At 38.4% G+C, this 21,827-nt stretch overlaps 1 protein-coding gene and 2 pseudogenes across 3 annotated transcripts in view; 1 reads left to right on the forward strand and 2 right to left on the reverse strand.

The window, feature by feature from the left end:
* UMAD1 (UBAP1-MVB12-associated (UMA) domain containing 1) overlaps positions 1-21,827 on the forward strand; it is a 238,472-nt gene that overhangs the window by 82,405 nt on the left and 134,240 nt on the right. The gene's annotated exons all lie outside the window — the stretch shown is intronic.
* Positions 12,618-13,672, reverse strand: LOC100533631 (5-azacytidine induced 2 pseudogene; annotated as a pseudogene).
* RPL23AP51 (ribosomal protein L23a pseudogene 51) lies at positions 18,931-19,421 on the reverse strand (annotated as a pseudogene).

A 21,827-nucleotide genomic window follows, 5' to 3' on the forward strand; every position in this document is an offset into this window, starting at 1 on the left:
GGTTCAGAGTGTGACCCATGAGGAGGTGTGCTACACTTGAGAAGAACTGCTTAAATTTTTCAGTTTACATAAGCAGAAATCTGGAGAACAGGCGTGGGAATTGATATTAAGGGTGTGGGATAATGGTGGAAGGAACATAGAGTTAGATCAAGCTGAATTTATTGATTTGGGCCCACTAAGTAGGGATTCTGCATTTAATGTTACAGCTCAGGGAGTTAAAAAATGTTCTAATGTAGTTTATTTGCTTGATTAGCTGAAATGTGGATTAAAATATGGCCCACTATGAGCGAGCTGGAAATGCCTAATCTCCCTTGGTTTAATGTAGAGGAAGGGATCCAAAGGCTTAGGGAGATTGGGATGGTGGAGTGGATTAGTCACTTTAGACCTACTCTTCCCAGCTGGGAGGGTCCAGAAGATATACTTTTGACCAGTGCTTTGCAAAATAGATTTGTGAGGGCAGCACCTGTATCTTTCAAGAGCCCGATAATTGCTCTTCTCTGTATGTCAGAACTAACAGTGGCAACCATAGTCACTCAACTACAAAATTTAAATATGATGGGAATAACTGGATCCTGAGGTGGCAGGGGCCAAGTGGTGGCACTCAGCCGTCAAAGGCAAGGTAGGCATAGCTACTGTAATGGACAGCAGAGGCAAAGCAACAATCAGAATAGTCTGACTCGTGTAGAGCTCTGCCATTGGCTAATTAATCACGGTGTTCCTAGAAGTGAAATTGATAGGAAGCCTACTGCATACCTACTTAATTTATATGAGAAGAAAATTTTCAGATCGAATGGACAAAAGACTAATTTGAATTATAAAAACAGAATCATGGCTCCTCAATCAATTTCCAGAATTGAGCCAGTTTACAGACCCAGAACCCCTTGAATGAAGGGGAGGCCGGGTCCCCTTGAGGAAGGATCCCATTATACTACCGACAATTTATGCTGTTAATCTTTCTCCCATCCTCCCCCAAGGAGACCTCCAGCCTTTTATCAGGGTAACTGATAATGTCATTTCAGATAGTCCCTGAAATGCCTCATCATTTCCCTTTCTCCAATGCACGGTTGATCTGAGGTGATGTTGATTCCGGGGGACCCAATGTGGTCTTCCAGTTAAAATAGGGCCTTATGGAGGTCAGGTAATTAATGGAGTTTTAGCTCAAGTCTGACTTACAGTGTGTCCAGTGGGTCCCCAGACTCATCCTGTGGTCATTTCCCCAGGGCCAGAATGCATAATTGGCATAGACACACTTAGTAGCTGGCAGAACCCCCACATTGGCTCCCTGACAGTAGGGTGAGGGCTATTATGGTGGGAAATGGAAGCTATTAGAGATGCCTCTACCTAGAAAAATAGTAAATCAAAAACAGTATCACATCCCTGGAAGGATTGCAGGGAGTAGTGCCACCATTAAGGACTTGAAAGATGCAGGGGTGGTGATTCCCACCACATCCCCACTCAGCTCTCCTGTTTGGCCTATGCAGAAGGCAGATGGATCTTGGAGAATGACAGTGGATTATTGTAAGCTTAACCAAGTGGTGACTGCAATTGCAGCTGCTATACCAGATGTGGTTTCATTGCTTGAGCAAATTAATACATCTCCTGATACCTGGTATGCAGCCATTGACTTGGCAAATGCCCTTTTCTCCATTCCTGTCCATAAGGTCCACCAGAAGCAATTTGCTTTCAGCTTCCTGTTCTACCTCAGGGGTATATCAACTCTCTGGCTTTGTGTCATAATGTTATTTGGAGAGAACTTGATTGCTTTTCACTTCCACGAGATACCACACTGGTCCATTACATTGATGACATTATGCTGATTGGATCCAGTGTGCAAGAAGTAGAAAACAAACTGGACTTACTGGTGAGACATTTGCATGCCAGAGAATGGAAAAAAATCTGACTAAAATTCAGGAACCTTCCACCTCAGTAAAATTTCTAGGCGTCCAGTGGTGTGGGGCCTGTTGAGATATTCCTTCTAAGGTGAAGGATAAATTGCTGCATTTGGCTCCTCCTACAACCAAGGAAGAGGTACAACACATGGTGGGCCTGTTTGGATTTTGGAGGCAGCACATTCCTCATTTGGGTGTTTTACACCAGCCCATTTATCGAGTGATCCGAAAGGCTGCCAGTTTGAGTGGGGTCCAGAACAGGAGAAGGCTCTGCAACAGGTCCAGGCTGCTGTGTAAGCTGCTTTGCCACTTGGGCCATATGACCCAGCAGATCCAATTGTGCTTAATGTATCGGTGGCAGATAGGGATGCTATTTGGAGCCTTTGGCAGGCCCCCATAAGTGAATCACAGTGGAGGCCTCTAAGATTTTGGAGCAAGGCCATGCCATCTTTTGCAGATAACTACTCTCCTTTTGAGAGACAGCTCTTGGCCTGTTACTGGGCTTTGGTGGAAACTGAACGTTTGACTATGGATCATCAAGTCACCATATGACCTGAACTGCCTATCATGAACTGGGTGCTTTCTGACCCATCTAGCCATAAAGTGGGTCATGCACAGCAGCATTCCATCATCAAATGGAAGTGGTATATATGTGATCGGGCTTGAGCAGGTGAAGGCACAAGTTACATGAGGAAGTGGCTCAAATGCCCATGGTCTCCACTCCTGCCACCCTGCCTTCTCTTCCCCAGACTGCACCAATGGCCTTTTGGGGAGTTCCCTATGATCAGTTGACGTAGGAAGAGAAGACTAGGGTCTGGTTCACAGATGGTTCTGCATGATATGCAGGCACCACCTGAAAGTGGACAGCTGCAGTACTACAGCCTCTTCTTAGGACATCCCTGAAGGACAGTGGTGAAGGGAAATCTTCCCAATGGGCAGAACTTTGAGCATTGCACCTGGTTGTGCACTTTGCATGGAAGGAGAGATGGCCAAATGTATGATTATGTACTGATTCATGGGCTGTAGCCAGTGGTTTGGCTGGATGGTCAGGGACTTGGAAGAAGCATGATTGGAAAATTGGTGACAAAGAAAATTGGGGAAGAGATATGTGGATGGACCTGTCTGGTCAAAAACTGTGAAGATATTTGTATCCCATGTGAGTGCTCACTAACGGGTGACCTCAGCAATGCTTCTGCCAAGACTATCATCCATGGACTCATGGAATACCTTATCCACCATCATGGTATTCCACACAGCATTGCCTCTGACCAAGGCACTCACTTTACAGCTAAAGAAGTGCAGCAGTGAGCTCATGCTCATGGAATTCACTGGTCTTACCATGTTCCCCATCATCCTGAAGTAGCTGGATTGATAGAATAATGGAATGGCCTTTTGAAGGCATAATTACAACGCCAATTAGGTGACAACACTTTACAGGGCTGACGCAAAGTTCTCCAGAAGGCCGTGTATGCTCTGAATCAGTGTCCAATATATGGTACTGTTTCTCCCATAGCCAGGATTCACAGGTCCAGGAATCAAGGGGTGGAAGTGGAAATGGCACCATTCACCCTCACCCCTAGTGACCCACTAGCAAAATTTTGCTTCCTTTTCCTGTGACATTACGTTCTGCTGGCCTAGAGCTGTTAGTTCCAGATAGAGATGTTAGTTCCAGAGGGAGAAATGCTGCCAGGAGACACAACAACGATTCCATTAAACTGGAAGTTAAGATTGCCAGCTGTACCCTTTGGGCACCTCCCACCTTTAAGTCAACAGTCTAAGGAGGGAGATACAGTGTTGGCTGGGGTGATTGACCTGGACTATCAAGATGAAATCAGCCTAATACTTCACAACAGAGATAAGGAAGAGTATGCATGGAATAGAGGAGATCCATAGGGTGTCTGTTAGTATTACCCTGCCCTGTGGTTCAGGTCAGCGGGAAACTACAACAGCCCACTCCAGGCAGGACTACAAATGGCCAAGACCCTTCAATAATGAAAGTTTGGGTCACTCCATCTGGAAAAAAACCCATGACCTGTTGAGGTGTGTGCTGAAGGCAAAGGGAATACAGAATGGGTAGGATAAAAAGGTAGTCATCAATACCAGCTACAACCACATGACCAGTTGCAGAAATGAGGACTGTAATTCTCAATGAGTATTTCTTCCTCTTTTTGTTAAAAACATGCTTGTTCATGTATACACTGTGTTAAGAAAATGCCTTCATTTTCCTTTTTACTTTATCATGAGACATAAGATTTATTGGCTTCATATCAACCCTTAAGTATTGTTAACTTTATGTAATAGCATTTGGGTTGGGGATTGGTGTGTTTTCGGTTGTACATAGCATAGTTGAATTATGTTAGGCATAATTATGACCTTATTATTGTCTTTATTTGAAAATTATATATGATCTCAGGAAATGTGTATGAGTTCAAGTTGACAAGGAGTGGATTTGGGATGGTTGATACTGAGTGTCAACTTGATTGGATTGAAGCATGCAGAGTAATAATCCTGGGTGTGTCTGTGAGCATGTTTCCAAAGGAGAATAACATTTGAGTCAGTGGGCTGGGAAAGGCAGACCCACCCTTAATCTGGGTGAACACCCTCTAATCAACTGTTTGCTTGGCCAGGATATAAAGCAGGCAGGAAAACGTGAAAAGGCTAGACAGGCTTAGCCTCCCAGCCTACATCTTTCTCCCGTGCTGGATGCTTCCTGTCCTCAAACATCAGACTTCAAGTTCTTCAGCTTTGGGACTTGAACTGGCTTCCTTGCTCCTCAGTTTGTAGATGGCTTATTGTGGGACCTTTGTGTGAGTTTAATACTCCTTAATAAACTCTCTTTATATATGATTGTGTGATTTAATGCTCCTTAATAAACTTTTTTTATATACGATTGTGTGATTTAATACTCCTTAATAAACTCTTTATATATATATATCTATTCCATTAGTTTTGTCCCTCTAGAGAACCCTGACTAATACACCATCCAAACCTATTTTCTTCTGTTGGCCCTATTTTTAACTCTTGGGACCTCCATTCTGTGGTAAAATGCCCCATTCAGAGTACCAGCTTGAAGCCAAACTGGTACATGTTCAGATATGTGTGTACATGTGTGCACATCTAGAGTTGCTTTTTTGAGGATAATTTGGCTTTAACTGTAGGAATCTTTATAGTCAACTTGACATAAAGATCTAGGGTACCTCTACCTGGGAAAATCCTGGTTCTCGCTGTTCACAGCTGGCGGCCAGCAGGCAAGTGATTTAATCTCTTTGAGTGTTCAGTTTTCTCATTTACAAAATTGAGATGATAAAACCTATCTCAGGCCGGGCACAGTGGCTCACACCTGTAATCCCAGCACTTTGGGAGGCCAAGGTGGGCGGATCATGAGGTCAGGAGGTTGAGACCAGCCTGACCAACATGGTGAAACCCCGTCTCTGCTAAAAATACAAAAATCAGCCAGGCGTGGTGGCGTGCACCTGTAGTCCGAGCTACTCAGGAGGCTAAGGCAGGAGAATCACTTGAACCCGGGAGGCGGAGGTTGCAGTGAGATGAGATCACACCAGTGCACTCCAGACTGGGTGACAGAGTGAGACTCCATCTTAAGAAAAAAAAAAAAAACACCTATCTCAGAGGTTGATCCATGGATTAAATAAGTAGCCATATCTGCTACACAGGAAGCACTCAAGAAGTGGTATCTCTTGCTGCTATATGAATAGTATTAAGATTCCAGTAGTCTTTTCACTATGTTCCTTCTCATTTGTGGTGTATCCATGTTTTCATTCATTTATTCAACAATATTTATAGTGGGCCTACCGTATGTCAGTGACTTTGCTGGGCATTAGGAATGTATGGTGAATATGATGGATACAGCCTGTGCCCTCATAGAACTGACAGTCCAGTTGTAGAGACAGACATTACATATACGACAACCTAAATAAGTGTAAAACTACAATGTTCATAAGTGGTATGAGAGCAGCTGACCAAATGTGGAAGATTGAGTAAGGCTTCCATAAGTACATAATGTATTTGTGTCGGAAATGGAAACGTGAATGAGTTAACTGGATGGAGAAGGGAGAGGTGAGTTTGAGACTGAGGGAACAGCAATGTTTAATGGCTGTTTGGTGGGAGGGAACATAGCACATTTGGTGAGTGGGAAAAGGCCCTTCCACTGATGTGCAGAGAGCCAGGATGGAGCATGGAACATGATGAGGCTCGGGAGTTAGGCAGACCCTGGTCATGCTAGACCTTGTAGGCACTGGCTGTGTCTTCATCTTAAGAGCCATGGAAGCCAATGTTGAACATTAAGCTGAAGATGGGAATGAGCTGGACAATTATGGGTTTGAAATGATGTTTCGTTTTCATCCTTTGAGAGGACTTTGTTCTCTCAGACAGATGCTCTCCATTCTGTCACACACGTGGTACTTGGCTTCTGTGATTAGGGTGCCAGTCTCTTGCAGTCATTCTGCCACTTCAGGCTATTTCTTTGCTACCTCATTGATAAGGCTGCCATCTTCTGAGCTTGCATTTGCCCATTGTTATCCTCTACTCACTCTGGATTGTTCCCCAGACTTCATAGAGCCCTTTGACTTGATTTCTTTCCCTTCCTAGATCCTATAGTTAGCCTGGACAACTCTAAAATTCAGGATGCCCTGGTGAACACGCTAACCTCAGTCTCCAAAGACTTTGTCAGTGGAGCCAGCCATTCTCTTTTCTACCCCAGTCATTCTCTGCTGTGGTCTTGCTCCAGATTATATAATCACACAGAGCAGTGCTACCTTGAAAAACGTAAATTTTAAACCCAGAAATCCTACCCTCTCGTGTCAAGTTGTCCCTCTTTCCTGCCACTATTCCCACTCGTTCACTGAATTCATTGACAGCTGTTTGCTCAGTCTCTCATCACTGTCTGACTTCTCTCACCCAGTCTGGAGCCTATGGTCAATAGTTGCAGTGTTCTAAGATCAGGTCTCTATTATTTAGGACCCTGCCACTTTTCAACTCTGGATAAACTCGACTTTTCCCTTTTTCTGCCCTTGCTCCTACACTATTAAGCATTCCTGGAAAAAATCACAACTGTCATATGGGCACGATAATGTATCTTTGCTTTCCAGTTATGTGAGCTGTCAGCTCTCTTCTGTGGTCTTTTCTCATCACTTTTGTCTTAACTGGGTGAATTTCAACCTTGGCTGTACTTTGGAATCACGTGGGGTGCTCTAAAAAATACCAATGTCTGCGATTTACTCCTAGAGATTTTGATGTAATTGGCCTGAAGAACACCTGGCAGGGACGTTTTAGACACTCCCCAGGTGATTCTAACATGCAGCTAAGATGGAGAACCACGTGCTAATGTGCCCACAGAGACTGATGGACATGTTTGCTGCTTCTTGCACTCTCTGCTAGTCCTCATTTTAAGCAATTGATCTTGTCTCATCCAGTTCTCGTCCTTTTTCTACCTTTAAACTTACCTCTGATTGCATTCATACTTGCCTAGTTCATTCTTAATCTAGAGAAAAACAATTGCCTACATCCTCACGTATAAGCCCTTCAAAAGGTACACTAGGTGTCTGTCTCACCCTCTCTGCTCCTGATCTGAGCCAGATGAGCTTAGTGGCTAGGTTTAAATAATAGGCATGTACTAATAAGCATGCATTTCTCTTAAAAACAAAACAAAACAAAAACCTGGGGGAAAAAAAACCCTCAAAATCTGCCAAACCTAAATCTAAGCAATATTAAGCAGAAAGATGACAATTTTCAAAGCAAATAATATTTGATGAAATATACTGAGATATGTGGTATTTAATAGATGGTTGGGGCTGGATAGGGGCAGTAGTCGGAGTGGAAGCAGTGGCGGGAATGGTGGTGGGGCTTTGTATATTACACTAAAGTTGTTGAACTTTGAGTTTTAAATGTGTTGAAAGTTCCTCCTGGGGGAAAGGAGTAAAATGATCAAGTATGTTTTTTGTTTGTTTGTTTGTTTGACATGGTGTCTTGCTCTGTCACCAGGCTGGAGTGCAGTGGCACCAATCTCGGCTCATTGCAACCTCCGCCTCCCGGGTTCCAGCAATTCTCCTGCCTCAGCCTCCTGAGTAGCTAGGACTACAAGTGCGTGCCACCACGCCCAGCTAATTTTTGTATTTTCAGTAGAGAGGGGGGGGTTCCACCATGTTGGCCAGGATGGTTTTGATCTCTTGACCTCGTGATCCACCTGCCTAGGCCTCCCAAAGTGCTGGGATTACAGCCGTCAGCCACTGCACCCGGCCTCAAATATGTGTTTTAAGGATGGAACTATTGTAGTAGTGCAGGGCATGGTCTGTAAAGGAAACAGGTTAGAGGACATTTGGAAGCAGTGTTCAGCGGTTTAAGCAAGAAATGATGATGTCCTGGACTAAAGTGATAGCAGTGAGGAAGAAAAAGGAAAAGGAAAAGGAAAAGCAAACAAACAACCCCCCCCCAAAAAAAAAACACTTCTAGAGGTATTGTTAAAACTAGAATCAATAAGATTGGCTCATTTTGCATTCTGGAGAATTATGCCAAAGACTCATAGGCATTTAAGTTAATTCGCTTATGGTAATTAACCCAAAAGACTGCTAAATTGCCTATTTGTTTATAAGCTGCCGCAATAAAAGAGAGTTTTCAGAAAAATTTTTTTTAAAGAATAGAAATCTCTTCTATGGAGTGTAACGCTAGAGCAAATTTGAAATAAGCTGTTTGATCAGTGACTCAGAATCTTTATAATGATCCATTAAAATGTGTAAAAGAAGCCTTAAGTATAAAAATACCATAATCAGGAGAAGTGTAGTAGCTAAGGGCTTGGACTGTGGACACAGACTGGCTTTGAAGTTTATTTCCTGCCTTAACTGACCTGATGACCTTGAGCAAATTGTTTAACAGTGCTATGATTCATTTTCCTTATCTGTACAATGGAGACAGTAAGAGGGTCCACCTTAGAGGATTGTGAAAAATATCTGAGATAAATATTAATGACCATTATTTTGTTTTATATAGTCAATTTTAGATAGATATTCTTACATCTTCTGCTTGGATTACTTGCTCTAGCCATTGAGATTCACTAAATTATTCTTGTTATTTAGTAAGCAAATGCAATGAGTAATTCCTGTTCCTTTTAAGAAAATATTCATTGGCTGAATATTAGCCAACTGATATGTTTTTGTTAAACGTAAAAGAGTAGATCCTCCCATGAAGTTCCAGTTGAGTGTTTTTTCTTGAAATTTACTAATTGTCCTTAACTTCTATAATCAATAAATTCTGTGAAGTGAAAGAAGTAGGGAGAACAGTAAGGTGAAAAGGCAAACATTTTCTAATGAGTTGCTATTAGTCTTCTAACCTGGGATAAATAATAAAGTTTCTAATAGATGTGTATAACATCATAGCCATTTGGGGTGTTTTAAAAATTTCCATGTTAACTTTAAACCTTAATCTTTGTTGTATTTATGACAGAAAAAAATTAAAAATGACTTAAATCAGTGTGCCTAAGACTTTAACATTGCAGTTTAAATTTATAGACTTCAACATAACCACCAGTTTTTGGTGATCCAACATTCAGTCTGATTTTCCACCTCATTGAAAACATTCTACAGCTGCTGCCGAGTGATTTCATAAATTGCATTCATGATCCTGGCTGGAAGTTCTCTTAAAGAATGTGGTCTGGATGAATACACAACAGTTTTAACACAGTCCCATAAAATATAGTTCAGTGGGATAGGTCAAGTTTAAAGTTGCACAAGGATTTCATAAACACCCTGAGTAGATGGGCACTAAAACTTTGAATGTGTTATATGGAAAAACCTTATAAAGGGTGGCAGTGTTCCAAAGGTAGATTAAGTTGGTCATCTATGAAACAATTCCTACTACTGATGGTTCTTAATAGTACCACCTGCTAGTTGTTTCATATTAAATTGTGTGAAACAACACATTCTGGAAACTGATGAACTACTTATTTATTTAATAAACCCGTCAATGAAAGAAACCTCTGTCATAAGTAATGGAGTTATTTATTAGGCCCAAAAAGTCTTAAGCCAGAAATGTCAGGCATTTTTGTGGACAAAGAGTGTTGTAATCTCGTATTGTTTTTTCAAACAGCAGCAAGTAGCACACGATACCCAGTTGGTATGTTTGTCCTTTATTTGGATGGAAACTCCAGAATCTCTGGGTAGTCAGCTGAATGCCAATTTAAACCTCAGAAAGACATCAGTGGTCTTGGTGTATAGTTTCAAAGATACCACTAGGCTTTAAGTATGCCCTGAAGCCTGACATTTTGGGTGCTTCACTGATGCATTTCCTTTGCTGATCTTATTTATTGGTTTAGTGAGAATATCTTCAATGACATGACAGTTGCTATCTTAGAAAGCAAGGCCAAACAATCTAAACTTCATATTCCTGATTGAAGGAATTCCTCCTGCAATTCCGTACATTATAATTGTGGTCCCTTGTTAGAATAGATGTTGCTCATGTTTTGAATTAATATGATGACATGAAATGAGTGATACACAGAAAACATTAGCAATATATGGTAGTTATGACTTTGCCATCTAGTATGTCACCAGACATTGTACAGAATTATCCCAGGCCAGTTTTTAATACTAGCCAGTCATGTCAATTGAAGTTAGATATTCTCCCAAAATATTATTTTCAGCTCTGTCACTAAACTTTTCTTTATTTATAATAATATATGACTTTTTATAGTTGTGCGTTGTATGGGTCTAAAATAGTCCATTTGTATTAGTAGCTTTGAGCTATCTTGAATCTAGATAGCATACACCAAGACAGATTTCCCACATATTTTTAAAATTGATTATAGACTTCTGTCACACATAATATGAACATCTCTCTTTAGAGAAGAAAATATGAGTGTAATTTCAGGTTCTTTCAGATAATCATGAGATTTTAATTTCCTTGGATTTTCAAAGGAATGTAATCTCTTTTCATTTTTTTGTTATAAATAGTTAAGGATTAACAGTGTGTGCTTTAATTACAAGGTATGTATAAGGTTATTCTCCCCCCCGCAACCAACCCTTTTTTTAAACTTTTGATGTTTTTGATCAATGTCATTATTATCAAAGTTCTTTCAGAGTTACTGCAGGGCTATAGGCTTAAGTTCTTTTTGAGATATTGTTCCTAGTTTTGTAATCGTAGGAGACTTTGTTAGCTCATGACATCTCAGAGCTTTGAGCCCCCTGTGGTATGATTTTGGGTGTGCCAGGTCAAATTAGACTGTTATATTTACCCTAGTGTGGACGTGAATCTTCTCTTAGTTCCCAGAAATTCTTTGGTTCCTGTGCCTTGGTGTTGTAGCTAACCTTTATTTATTATTAAGATTTTTAAATTTTAATTAAGGTCTTTAGGTTTGAAACCTTAAGAATTTCATGATAATAAGAAGCTTAATACTTTTGAAATTATCTTTTCTATTTAATTAAGCTGTATTTTGGTGCTTTTACTTTCAGAGCTAAACCTCTCTCCCTATTCAGTGTTCACCCAAGTAAATTTGAAAGATGTTATTCTTCATTATATTCAAAAGTATATAAATTTTACTGTACATTTGAAGTTTCATCATAAATACTCAAGATCACAAGGAATTTTGTTAAAATAAAGCCCTTCGCCATATCATGCTGAAACTAAATGCCTATCCTCAAAGGCTTTTTTGATCTCTCTTGTTTTCCATTCTTCCCTTAAAATAGTTACCTATCATTTCCATTAATTTGCATTAACCACCTTATCATATCTTGTGGTCTTTAAAGGAAAATGATATGCTAGCTAACTTTATTTTTTTCATACATAAAACAATGTGTTTAACCCCAAGTGTATTAACAATGCTTTGCAATTTCCTGCAATGCTCAGGAAATATCTAAGACTACTATACCAAAAAGCAGATTGAATTTGAATTCTATTTTTACATAGTAAATATAAAATTGTATTTTATAGTCCTAAAATTATATTTAATAAATATAGTGTGAACAGGGTATTATTTTAGTAGTTTCTGTCATGAAATACTTATGCCTCACAAAACCAATAGTGTAAAAAAAATTTCAAGAACACATCAAATAAGTTACAGTTTAATAAACAATGATTTGTCCATGAAGAGTGATTATGCCTTAAATTAATATTGTTGCAAGGTCAAAAAGTTGACATTGGTAACACACCACTCTTGAGGATACAGACATTTTGGCAAAAAAATAACCCATTACGGGATCAAATTAGAAGGAAAGTTAGTAATAATTTAAAGGTAATTCTAAAGGTACAATATGTGCAGATACACACATACTCTAAAGACTTCTGCAGACTTTTAATCCAAGCTTAATTTTAATGTGTTGTAGACATTTCTTGGAAAACCACTGGGGTAAATCCCACATCCTCACCTTTTTTTTTTTTTGAGACAGAGTTTCACACTTGTTGCCCAGGCTGGAGTGCAATGACGTGATCTCCGCTCACTGCAACCTCCGCCTCCCGGGTTCAAGTGATTCTCCTGCCTCAGCCTCCCGAGTAGCTGGAATTACAGGGGCCCACCACCATACCCAGCTAATGTTTGTATTTTTAGTGGAGATGGGGTTTCGCCATGTTGGCCAGGCTGGTCTCGAACTCCTGACCTCAGGTGATCCACCCACCTTGGCCTCCCAAAGTGGTGGGATTACAGGCGTCAGCCACCACGCCCGGCCACATTGTTATGTTAAATATGAATTTCTTCAGAGTTAATTTCTATCAAGGCAGTTTTGATTATTTTGACCCAATAGTTTTAGTTTCCCCGAAGTCAGCCTCACTGAATTTAGGAGGACTTGGAAACACCCAGAAAGTATCTTCCACAGGTTTTTTGCTATAGGAATTGTGTTTCTAAAAGTTTGTGCCATCATTAGGCACATCCATAGGAATGGATCTACATTGTTTGTCCATGATTAGAGAATTGCTTTCCCTGATGAAATATTTAGATCCCCTGGTAAAGGAGAAGCTGTGGTATTTCTTAGAAAGAGCTTTACCATTTGGTGAGAAAGAGAGATGTCTTTTGAATGTTGCAGTGAAATGCATGAAATGCAGTTTCATGTTGTCCTCCCCAATGTCTTCAACACATTCTCTTGGGACAAAGGCCTTCCTGGTTGTAGTAAGAATTTTCAGTGTTCTTAGTAGTCATTTCTCTCTTCAGTTCCCAATATAAATGTTGCATATTATGACTTGAAAAACTTAGTTTTTGAAAGTGTCTGCTGGTCAGGCCTTCTTCCTGAGATGGATCCCTTTGGATTTTTGCAGCTCTATTTTGAAATTGCACGTTTCTTCCTTATAAGTACCAGCTGTCATTCTAAAACATGGATCTTCAGATCACAGTTCAATTTTCCACCTCCCAATTTGATGAAGGTGGGTTTAAATGACTCTTCACCTGCCGAGTTTCTACTTCTGTGCATAGGAGGAGGAATTCTTCTTATTTAGATTACATTTATTCACGCACTACTTTCAGAGATTCAGTCGTCTTTATTTATTTGATTCCAGTGTGCTCTTCAAATGATCTCCATCAATGCAGGCCTCCTGATGTGCATGATAGCCCTTATTTACTGGTTTTCATTTCACAGAACATGTTTTTCTTCATCTTATTTACTAAAAATGTTTCTTCCAAAGTCTGATTCTTTTCTTTAAGAAAGAATTCTCTCTCTGAATCCTAAAGCCCTTTCTTGATGTCTTCATATCCAGTGACTGAGAAAATAAGAAGCAACAGACTCATTGGTCCATGTTGAGATGGGAGTCACTGTATCTCTCCTCTGAGCTTTTCCACAATTCAGAAGACAGATGTCACATCCTTTACCAATGCATCTCTGACAGCTGTAGCCTGGCTTCCAGCGGCCTCCTGCTGAGCTGGCTGCTTTTCATTCTCCAGTGGTGGGAAACAATCTGAAAACAACCTGGGTCACCAGAGGTCACCAGGCCTCTGGTTTTCCTGAAGACCCCACTGCTTCTCCAGAAGCTGCCATGGCCACCTTGCTCTGAGAGGGGTTTTCCTTCTTTGGCGTGGGCCATGCCCCTGTCCAGTAGGTTCTCTAAAGCTACATTTTGCGAATCTGTCGTCTTTTGGAGAGAAAGGAGTTAAGCTTACAAATTATATATAATTTCTGTATATTAATTGAGGGGAAAACCCCATTGTCTACTAAGTCAGTCCCTTGGAGCTGAATCTCAGCTCTGCCACTTGCCAGCTGAAACTTTGGTGAGTTAATTAACCTCTCTGGGCTTCAGTTTTCTCAGCCGTGAAACAAGGATGATGACATGGACTCAGTAGGGCTGTTGTGACGTTTAGATCTAATAACTTATGTAAACTAAAATACCAGCCCAGTGGGTGCTCAGTCAATAGAAGTTTCCCCTTCTCTCCAGCAGAAACCTCAGGTTTCTACCTACCACCAGTTCTTACCTTTGGATTTTGTTTTTATCTTGTGCATTATTCAATCACAAGAACACATAACATTTAGTCATGTTGTAGGATTAAAAGCCTGGAGAAAACAAACTACTGCCACAGCATGAATGAAGAACTTAACCACTGGGAAAAACTCAGTATTATTTGATTCATTTCACCTATGACAGTTTATGTATTTTGGGGGACAGCAGTGGTTGTACTATTATTTTAAAGTGTACATTGAGATTTATAAAGTGTTAATTGTGCTTATATTTTCACCCATCAAAAAATGATTGTTTTTGCTTGATTTACCTACCTAAGTTTTTGCTAAATTTGGTCTCCTTGAAGCTGGGTATATTGTCTTTTTGTGTATAGTAACTTAAGAATGTGGAATGTGGGCAGACAGCATAATCTATGGTAGTTAAACTTTTATTAGATTGTTGTGAAGATTAAATGAGATAGTACATGCCAGAGGCCTAGCCCAGCACTTGCATACACTAAGTCAATAAATATTAGTCATTATTCTGCAGTGGAAAATTTAGTGTCACTAAAACTTTGTCCTGCTAGTCACCTTAAAACAGACAGCATAACCTAGTTTTTCATGTTATCAATTGAGAAAATGGATTCTAAAGTCAAGCTAACTGAAGAATGTCACTTTAATACATAAACGGGTATATTTTTTTTGAATTGATAAAAGGGTCTGTAGAATATTAAACAGTAGTTATTAAAAGAATTAATTCCATTTCTTAAAGAAGTTTAGTGTGACCAACCACTAGTGTAGGCATTGGAAGAATTTAGTATATTTTGTAAAATTTTTTCCAGCATGGGATCTGACTCTCTGAACCTGAAAATGAAGCAAACAAAACAGAGGCTTGTTCTGCCTATGCCCTTAGTGCCAAAACATAAATCATTGCTGTATTCATCAAGTCATAAAATTTAAATCATCTCTATTTGAGTTGGATAACTTGCTGCGGTATTTGATACTAACCACTGGTTCAAGCAGGACCTGGTGATGTTTAATGGACTATTGTTCAAAGTTGTTGGACTAAGTTGTTGCATTAATATAAAAGTTTTGCAAAATAACATGGTTGTAAAAGAAATCTTCCACTAAGCAATGAATATAAATGAACTTTATTTGTCCTTGTAACCAAATACTGTTCAGGAAAATTTTTTGCTTTAGCTTTACAGCTAATTTGCCCTCTTTCTGGGATACTTTTAGGGCTGTGGCTACCGAGTGACATCATATGTAGGCATTTCTGTATATGTTTCTCTTGCTTTCCTATTTTCTGTAGGACAGAGTTGCCAGCTGTCATCCTCTCTGGGAGGGAACCGATGCTCAAAAAATGGCACTACCTTTCCTCTCAGCAGTAAAGTGCCAGTGTTTCTTTTACAGCTGCCATGTGCAGGTGCCTTGACATGGCTGCATTTGGAATTTAGACGACAGCTGCAGAAGGTGGAACCATTGGCTGTAGGGTGAGTGGTCTTAAGTTTTCAGCTGAGACATAGGTAGGAAGAGGAAACTGAAAGGAGGCTCAGCACAGGGAATGAAATCCTGTTGTTTGGATTCTTGAAAGAACAGGGAGAAATTTCAGGAAAAAGGATGAGAAATTATTTTTACTTTTCAGCACCATTATTCAGGCACAAAATCTGGACAACAAATTATAAACTTAAAGCATTTCAAGTGTCACTTAATTGTTACCTAAGTATACTTTAAGTAGCTTAGATTAATGTATTTTAATGTAGGAAATTAGCATAGTTTGTTAAAAGATTTTAATTCGACAGACCACAGATGAGTACACGTAAATACTTAGTAATGAACTGCTGCATCAGCAGGCATTTGAGGTTTAATCATGCAGTCAATAATATAGCTCACTGTCATTACCTTGCCTGGTCCCTGTGAAATTTATCATATTTTTAGTAAGTTACTGTAGCCTTAGGTGAGATTTGGTATTTTTCTTCGTTACTAACACCTGCTCTTTTCATGGTACTCTCAACAAAATAAAATAGTTTTGTTTTGTTTTGGTAGCAAGCTTAACAAGTGGTTTTTTGAAGTAACTGATTATTTGCTCTTGTGCAGTGTGGTTTGACCTCAGCACCTTTGCTGTCTAAAAATGGTCAGAAGTATTTTCCAAACTTAAAATAGATTTTTCAAGATCTATTTTTCTCAAGGAAACTGTTTGATGTTCCTAGTGACGTAACAAATCAATCAAGCAAAAGCTTTAGAAAATCTGGATATTTATATTAGGGTCAAAAAGCACTTAATATTTCCTGATATTATGTTAAAAATGGAAACTGTAAGTTTATACTAATCGAGTTATTTTTTGCAGAGAAATTATGAGATCTTTGATTTTTCACTTTGTAATGATGACAGATTCATGAAGAGTAGAAGAAATGGCTCAGCTGGCTATTTAGTAGTTAGAGAAACTTGTGAAGAAGACATTCAGATTCTGCTTATTTGTCTATACAAAGGAGAGCACAGGAAGATTAACCAGGCAGGCCTGAAGAGAAATCTGAGTCAGCATCCTTGCTACCTGTGTCAATGGGGAAAATAGGAAGGCAGCTTAAATAAGTCAAGACTGTTAAGCATCTAATTACTATACAGTGAACCCTTTTTCCCCTTCAGATAGAAGCATGATTGTTAAAAGTTCTTGAAACCCTGGATTGCTACTGCTTTCAAGGCATGAGACAGATTTGAAATTCTGGGCAGCAAGCTATCACTTTCATTTGAAAACTGGCTTCTCTTTCTTTGTTTCTTCCTTTCCCCCTTTCTCTTTTAACCAAAATCTAACTTATCAATCACAAAGTTTAATAAGAGTAAAGAATTTCAGTATTTGGGTCCAAACCTATAAAATGTTTACAAGCACCTCCAAGGATGTATTGTGAGCAATCACGTCTATCCTTTGCGATAACCTTAAAAAAAGTTATCTGTTTTCTCTCCCCACCCAAATGGAATTGCAAGATTACTTTGTCTATAAATCCTTAAAAAACAACTAAATCCTTCTTCAAACTGTTATAATTTTAGCTTTATGCTACTTTTTATGGTAAGATTGACAAGTTTTCTATCAACTCTTAAAACATTCTTTTATTTGCCCTAAATTATTTCAAGTATAAGTTGGTATTGCTTTTCTTCTAGAATTTTGAAATTTAGTGAACAAATTCAAGTAGGACACACCCTTCATACTGTTCGTAACACTATATACTCTTTTAATCTGCCTTTTGCATTGCCCTTTCCCTACTGAGAAGTCATAACCCTCGGTTGTAATTTACCTCATACAGCAATCAATGATTTTGTGATCACTTTAGTTTCTTTGGACCTTATCCAGCATCTGTTTATGTCTTGACATGTAGATACCAGAATTGAAGACAATTTGAAAACTGGCTTTTCTTTGTTTCTTCCTTTCTCCTTTTCTCTTTTAACCCAAATCTGTTTTATCAATTGCAAATTTTAATGAGTAAAGAATTCCAGTATTTGGGTCCAAACCTATATAATGTTTGCAGTCACCTCCAAGGATGTATTGTGAGAATTCATGTCTGCCCTTTGTGGGAATAAGTTTAAAGTTTTCTTCTGTTAATGTTGAAATTAGGAATTCATTTTTTCTTTAAATTCTTGCAAAGCCTGACTTTTAGACTTTTTTTAAAATTTTACATTCCATTTATTTGACAAAACCATTAACGTAGCTAATAGCATGGCAGTGAGCAGTTGTGCAGTTACATAAACTTCTTCAGGTTATAAAGCTTCTATTTTGTATGATGTGGCAGTAATTCAGGGAGTAAGTCTTTATAAAGTTTCTCTAGGTGCTCAACTTACTAGGAGAACTTTGGATTCCTTTAAAGAGCAAGGAAAAAATAGTCTCAAAAAAAAAAAGACTGTGGCCTGGCGCGGTGGCTCACGCCTGTAATCCCAGCACTTTGGGAGGCTGAGGCGGGAGGATCACGAGGTCAGGAGATCCAGACCATCCTGGCTAACACAGTGAAACCCCATCTCTACTGAAAATACAAAAAATTAGCTGGGCGTGGTGGCGTGCGCCTGTAGTCGTAGTCCCAGCCACCCGGGAGGCTGAGGCAGGAGAATGGCGTGAACCCAGGAGGCGGAGTTTGCAGTGAGCCGAGATCACATCACTGCACTCCAGCCTGGGCTACAGAGCGAGACAACGTCTCAAAATAATAATAATAATAATAATAATAATAATAATAATAAAAATAATAAAAAAACACTGTAATGTAATTAGTTGAAACATGATTAGAATGACAGTTGAGGTCCTCCCTGCTTATTGAACCAACAATAACTTAAACAAACTTAAACCACTGATTTGCTAAAAACAACTGTAGACTTTTCAGTTAACTACAATTAGTATGATAAGAGCAGAGAAAAACCTGCATTTCTTCATCCTTGTAAAACTTAAGTAAAAGGCTTTAAGTCAACTTATTAAAAATAGAACACCTTTGTAAAATGAAAAAATAAAGTCATTTTTTACTACTAAACAAAAAATATTTTTATTTTTAGCGTAATAAAATCAATCGTTTTATAGTTATAGTGTTGAAAAAATATTTCTTACCAACTGCCTCTGAAAAATTTTCATAAATACTATTTTTAAATGAATACTGATGTGAGACAGTTCCATTGTACAGCACAGGGCTTGGTACATCATAGATGTTTAGTAAACGCTTGTTGATATGATGAAAGTTTGGCAACATCCAAAGCATCGTAATCAGGAGGCAGTTGAATATATGCCTTCTCTCCATCAGGCCGAATCAGGTGTTGACCTTGGCCACATCGATGTCACAGAGCTTCTTCACAGCCTGTTTGATCTGGTGCTTGTTGGCTTTAACATCCACAGTGAACACAAGCGTGCTGTTGTCTTCTGTCTTCTTCATGGCCGACTCAGTGGTCAGCGGAAATTTGATAGTGTAGTGGTTAAGCTTGTTTCTCCTGGGGGCGCTCTTCCGAGGATATCTGGGCTGCCTCCGGAGTCGCAGTGTCTTGGGCTGCTGGAAGGTGGGTGACGGGCAGATCTTTCTTTTTTTCTTTTTCTTTTTTTGTGGTTGTGGACACCTTTCAACACTGCCTTCTTGGCCTTCGAAGCCTTCACTTTGGCTTCAGCTGTAGGAGGGGCAGGAGCTTCCTTCTTCGCTTTCGGCGCCATCTTGTGAAAAGGGTCAGGACAATTTCTAGAAGGATTAAAGGATGAATGCTGTTTAGTAATAAGCCGAAAAGAACCATAATTTTCAAGTGATTCTTCATGATTGCCAACTAAGAATAAAATAAATATGAATAATCAAACATTTGAAATTCTGTATTTATTTCTCTAAAATCAGCTTGATTGATGAGAAAGTTACTATTGCTTGACATTTTAATTTTTCCAGTTTCTGATATTGATGCTTTATTTTGTATAAAATGGCACTGTGATAGAATATTTACTATTCTTTCTGTCATAATAGACTTGCTTTAAACTAACCCCATCAAAGTGCTGTATGTTCAAAATATCATCATGTTAAGGTAATAATTTTCAGTGTATTAGAAAAGATTTGTATAGAAATATTTATTGTAAAGCACGTGCGTTTTACACTCCATGCACTAGGTTGTTTTTGTTTGGTCTCTGTGTATATATGTGTTTACATTCCTGTTGAAATCTGAAGAAGGTGGTGTGTATTTAAATGTTACTTTTAGTTTATTCACATGAATGTGAATTTCTGTGTAAGTATGTATCTAAAATTGGTTTAGAAACAACACAATCAGTTTTGGTCTGGTGGTGCAGGATGAAATTTATATACATTTACATACTTACAAGTAAGTTGCTTTAAAATTAAAGTAGGGGATAAAATGTAGTGTGAATTGTTATGCAAAATCTAAGCACAGCATAATTAGCAAGGGATAGTAGAAATGCAATTTGTTAAAACCTGAATTGTAACAGTCAATTAATTTCCTCACAACGTGAAATAGCAAAACAATTAACAAACATCATTTGTCAAAAACAGTATTAAGGCAGGTTAAAGAACTACAGATACAAAATTTATAAATTATAACATTGAAAACAGAATGTTCAGTAGTGTTTAAAGATGTTTTGATATCTTTTACAGATTTTTTTAACTGATTGATTTATTTCAATAAATTTTCCAAAATCATGTTAATACTTTCCCCTTATGTATGTTTGGACTTATAACACGTTTTAGATGTGAGATTTTCCTACTCTGGACAAAGTGAGTCTATTGGAGAAAGAATCTATTCATTATTAAAGCAGGGGAAAGTAAGCTAATATACATATATGTGTATATGTATATGTATAATATATATTATACATATACATATATATTTTCCATTCTGCACTTTTAAAAAAATATTGTTTTAAAATATATATAACAAAATTTTCCATTGTAACCATTTACAAGTGTACAATTTAGTAGCGTTAATTATATTTATGATGTTGTGAAACCATCACCACTGTCTATTTCTAAAGCTTTTCCATCACCCCAGAGAAACTATTTTTAAAATAAAATCTTTATTGAGATATAATTAATATACCATAACATTAACGTAAAGTGTACGATTCAATGGCTTTTAACATATCCACACAATTGTATAACCATTACCATAGTTAATTTTAGAACATTTTCATCACCCCAAAAGAAACCTCTGTATCCATTAGCAGTTACTCACTATTTCCCCCAAATCCTCTTTCCCCTAACCCTAGTCACTCAGGAATCTACTTTCTATCTCTATAGATTTGCCTGTTCTGGGTGTTTCATATAAATGAAATTTTAAAATAGGTAGGTTTTTGTGACTGGCTTCTTTTTTGTTTTCAAGACCTCTCTATGTTGGAGCAGATATCATTACTTCATTCATTTTTATTGTTGAATAATATCCCATTGTACGGCTATCCCACATTTTATTTATCTATTCACTGATTGATGGACATTTATGTTGTTTTTGCTTTTTGGATATAATGAATAATGCTGCTGTGAACATTTGTGTACAGGCTTTTGTGTAGACATGTATTTTCATTTCATTGAGTGTATACCTAGGAGTAGAATTGCTAGGTTATATGGCAGTCCTATGTTTAACCATTCGAGGAATTGCCAGACAATTTTTCAAAGGGATTTGCTCCATTTCATAGTCCCAACCAGCTGTGTACAAGGGTTCTCATTTCTCCACGTCCTGGTAACACTAATTGTTACTGTTTTTTTTTTTTTTTTATTATAGTCATCCTAGTGAGTGTGATATAGTAGTTCATTGTGGTTTTGATTTACATTGACCTGATGGCTAATGATGTTTTCGTGTGCTTATTGGCCATTTATATCTTCACTGGATAAATGTCTATTCAGATATTTTGTTTATTTTTAAGTCATATTATTTGTCTTTTTATTATTGAATTCTAAGAGTTCTTTATATAGTCTAGATACAAGCCTATTACCAGATATATATGATTTGCAAATATTTTTTCCCATTCTGTAGGTTGTCTTTTCATAATACAGTTGACCCTTACAACATGGGAGTTAGGGGCACTGACCCCTGTGCACAGTCGGAAATCTGTGTATAAGTTTTGACTCCCCCAAAGCTTAAACTACTA

Source organism: Homo sapiens, chromosome 7 (assembly GCF_000001405.40).
Source record: "Homo sapiens chromosome 7, GRCh38.p14 Primary Assembly".
NCBI classification, from domain to species: domain Eukaryota; kingdom Metazoa; phylum Chordata; class Mammalia; order Primates; family Hominidae; genus Homo; species Homo sapiens.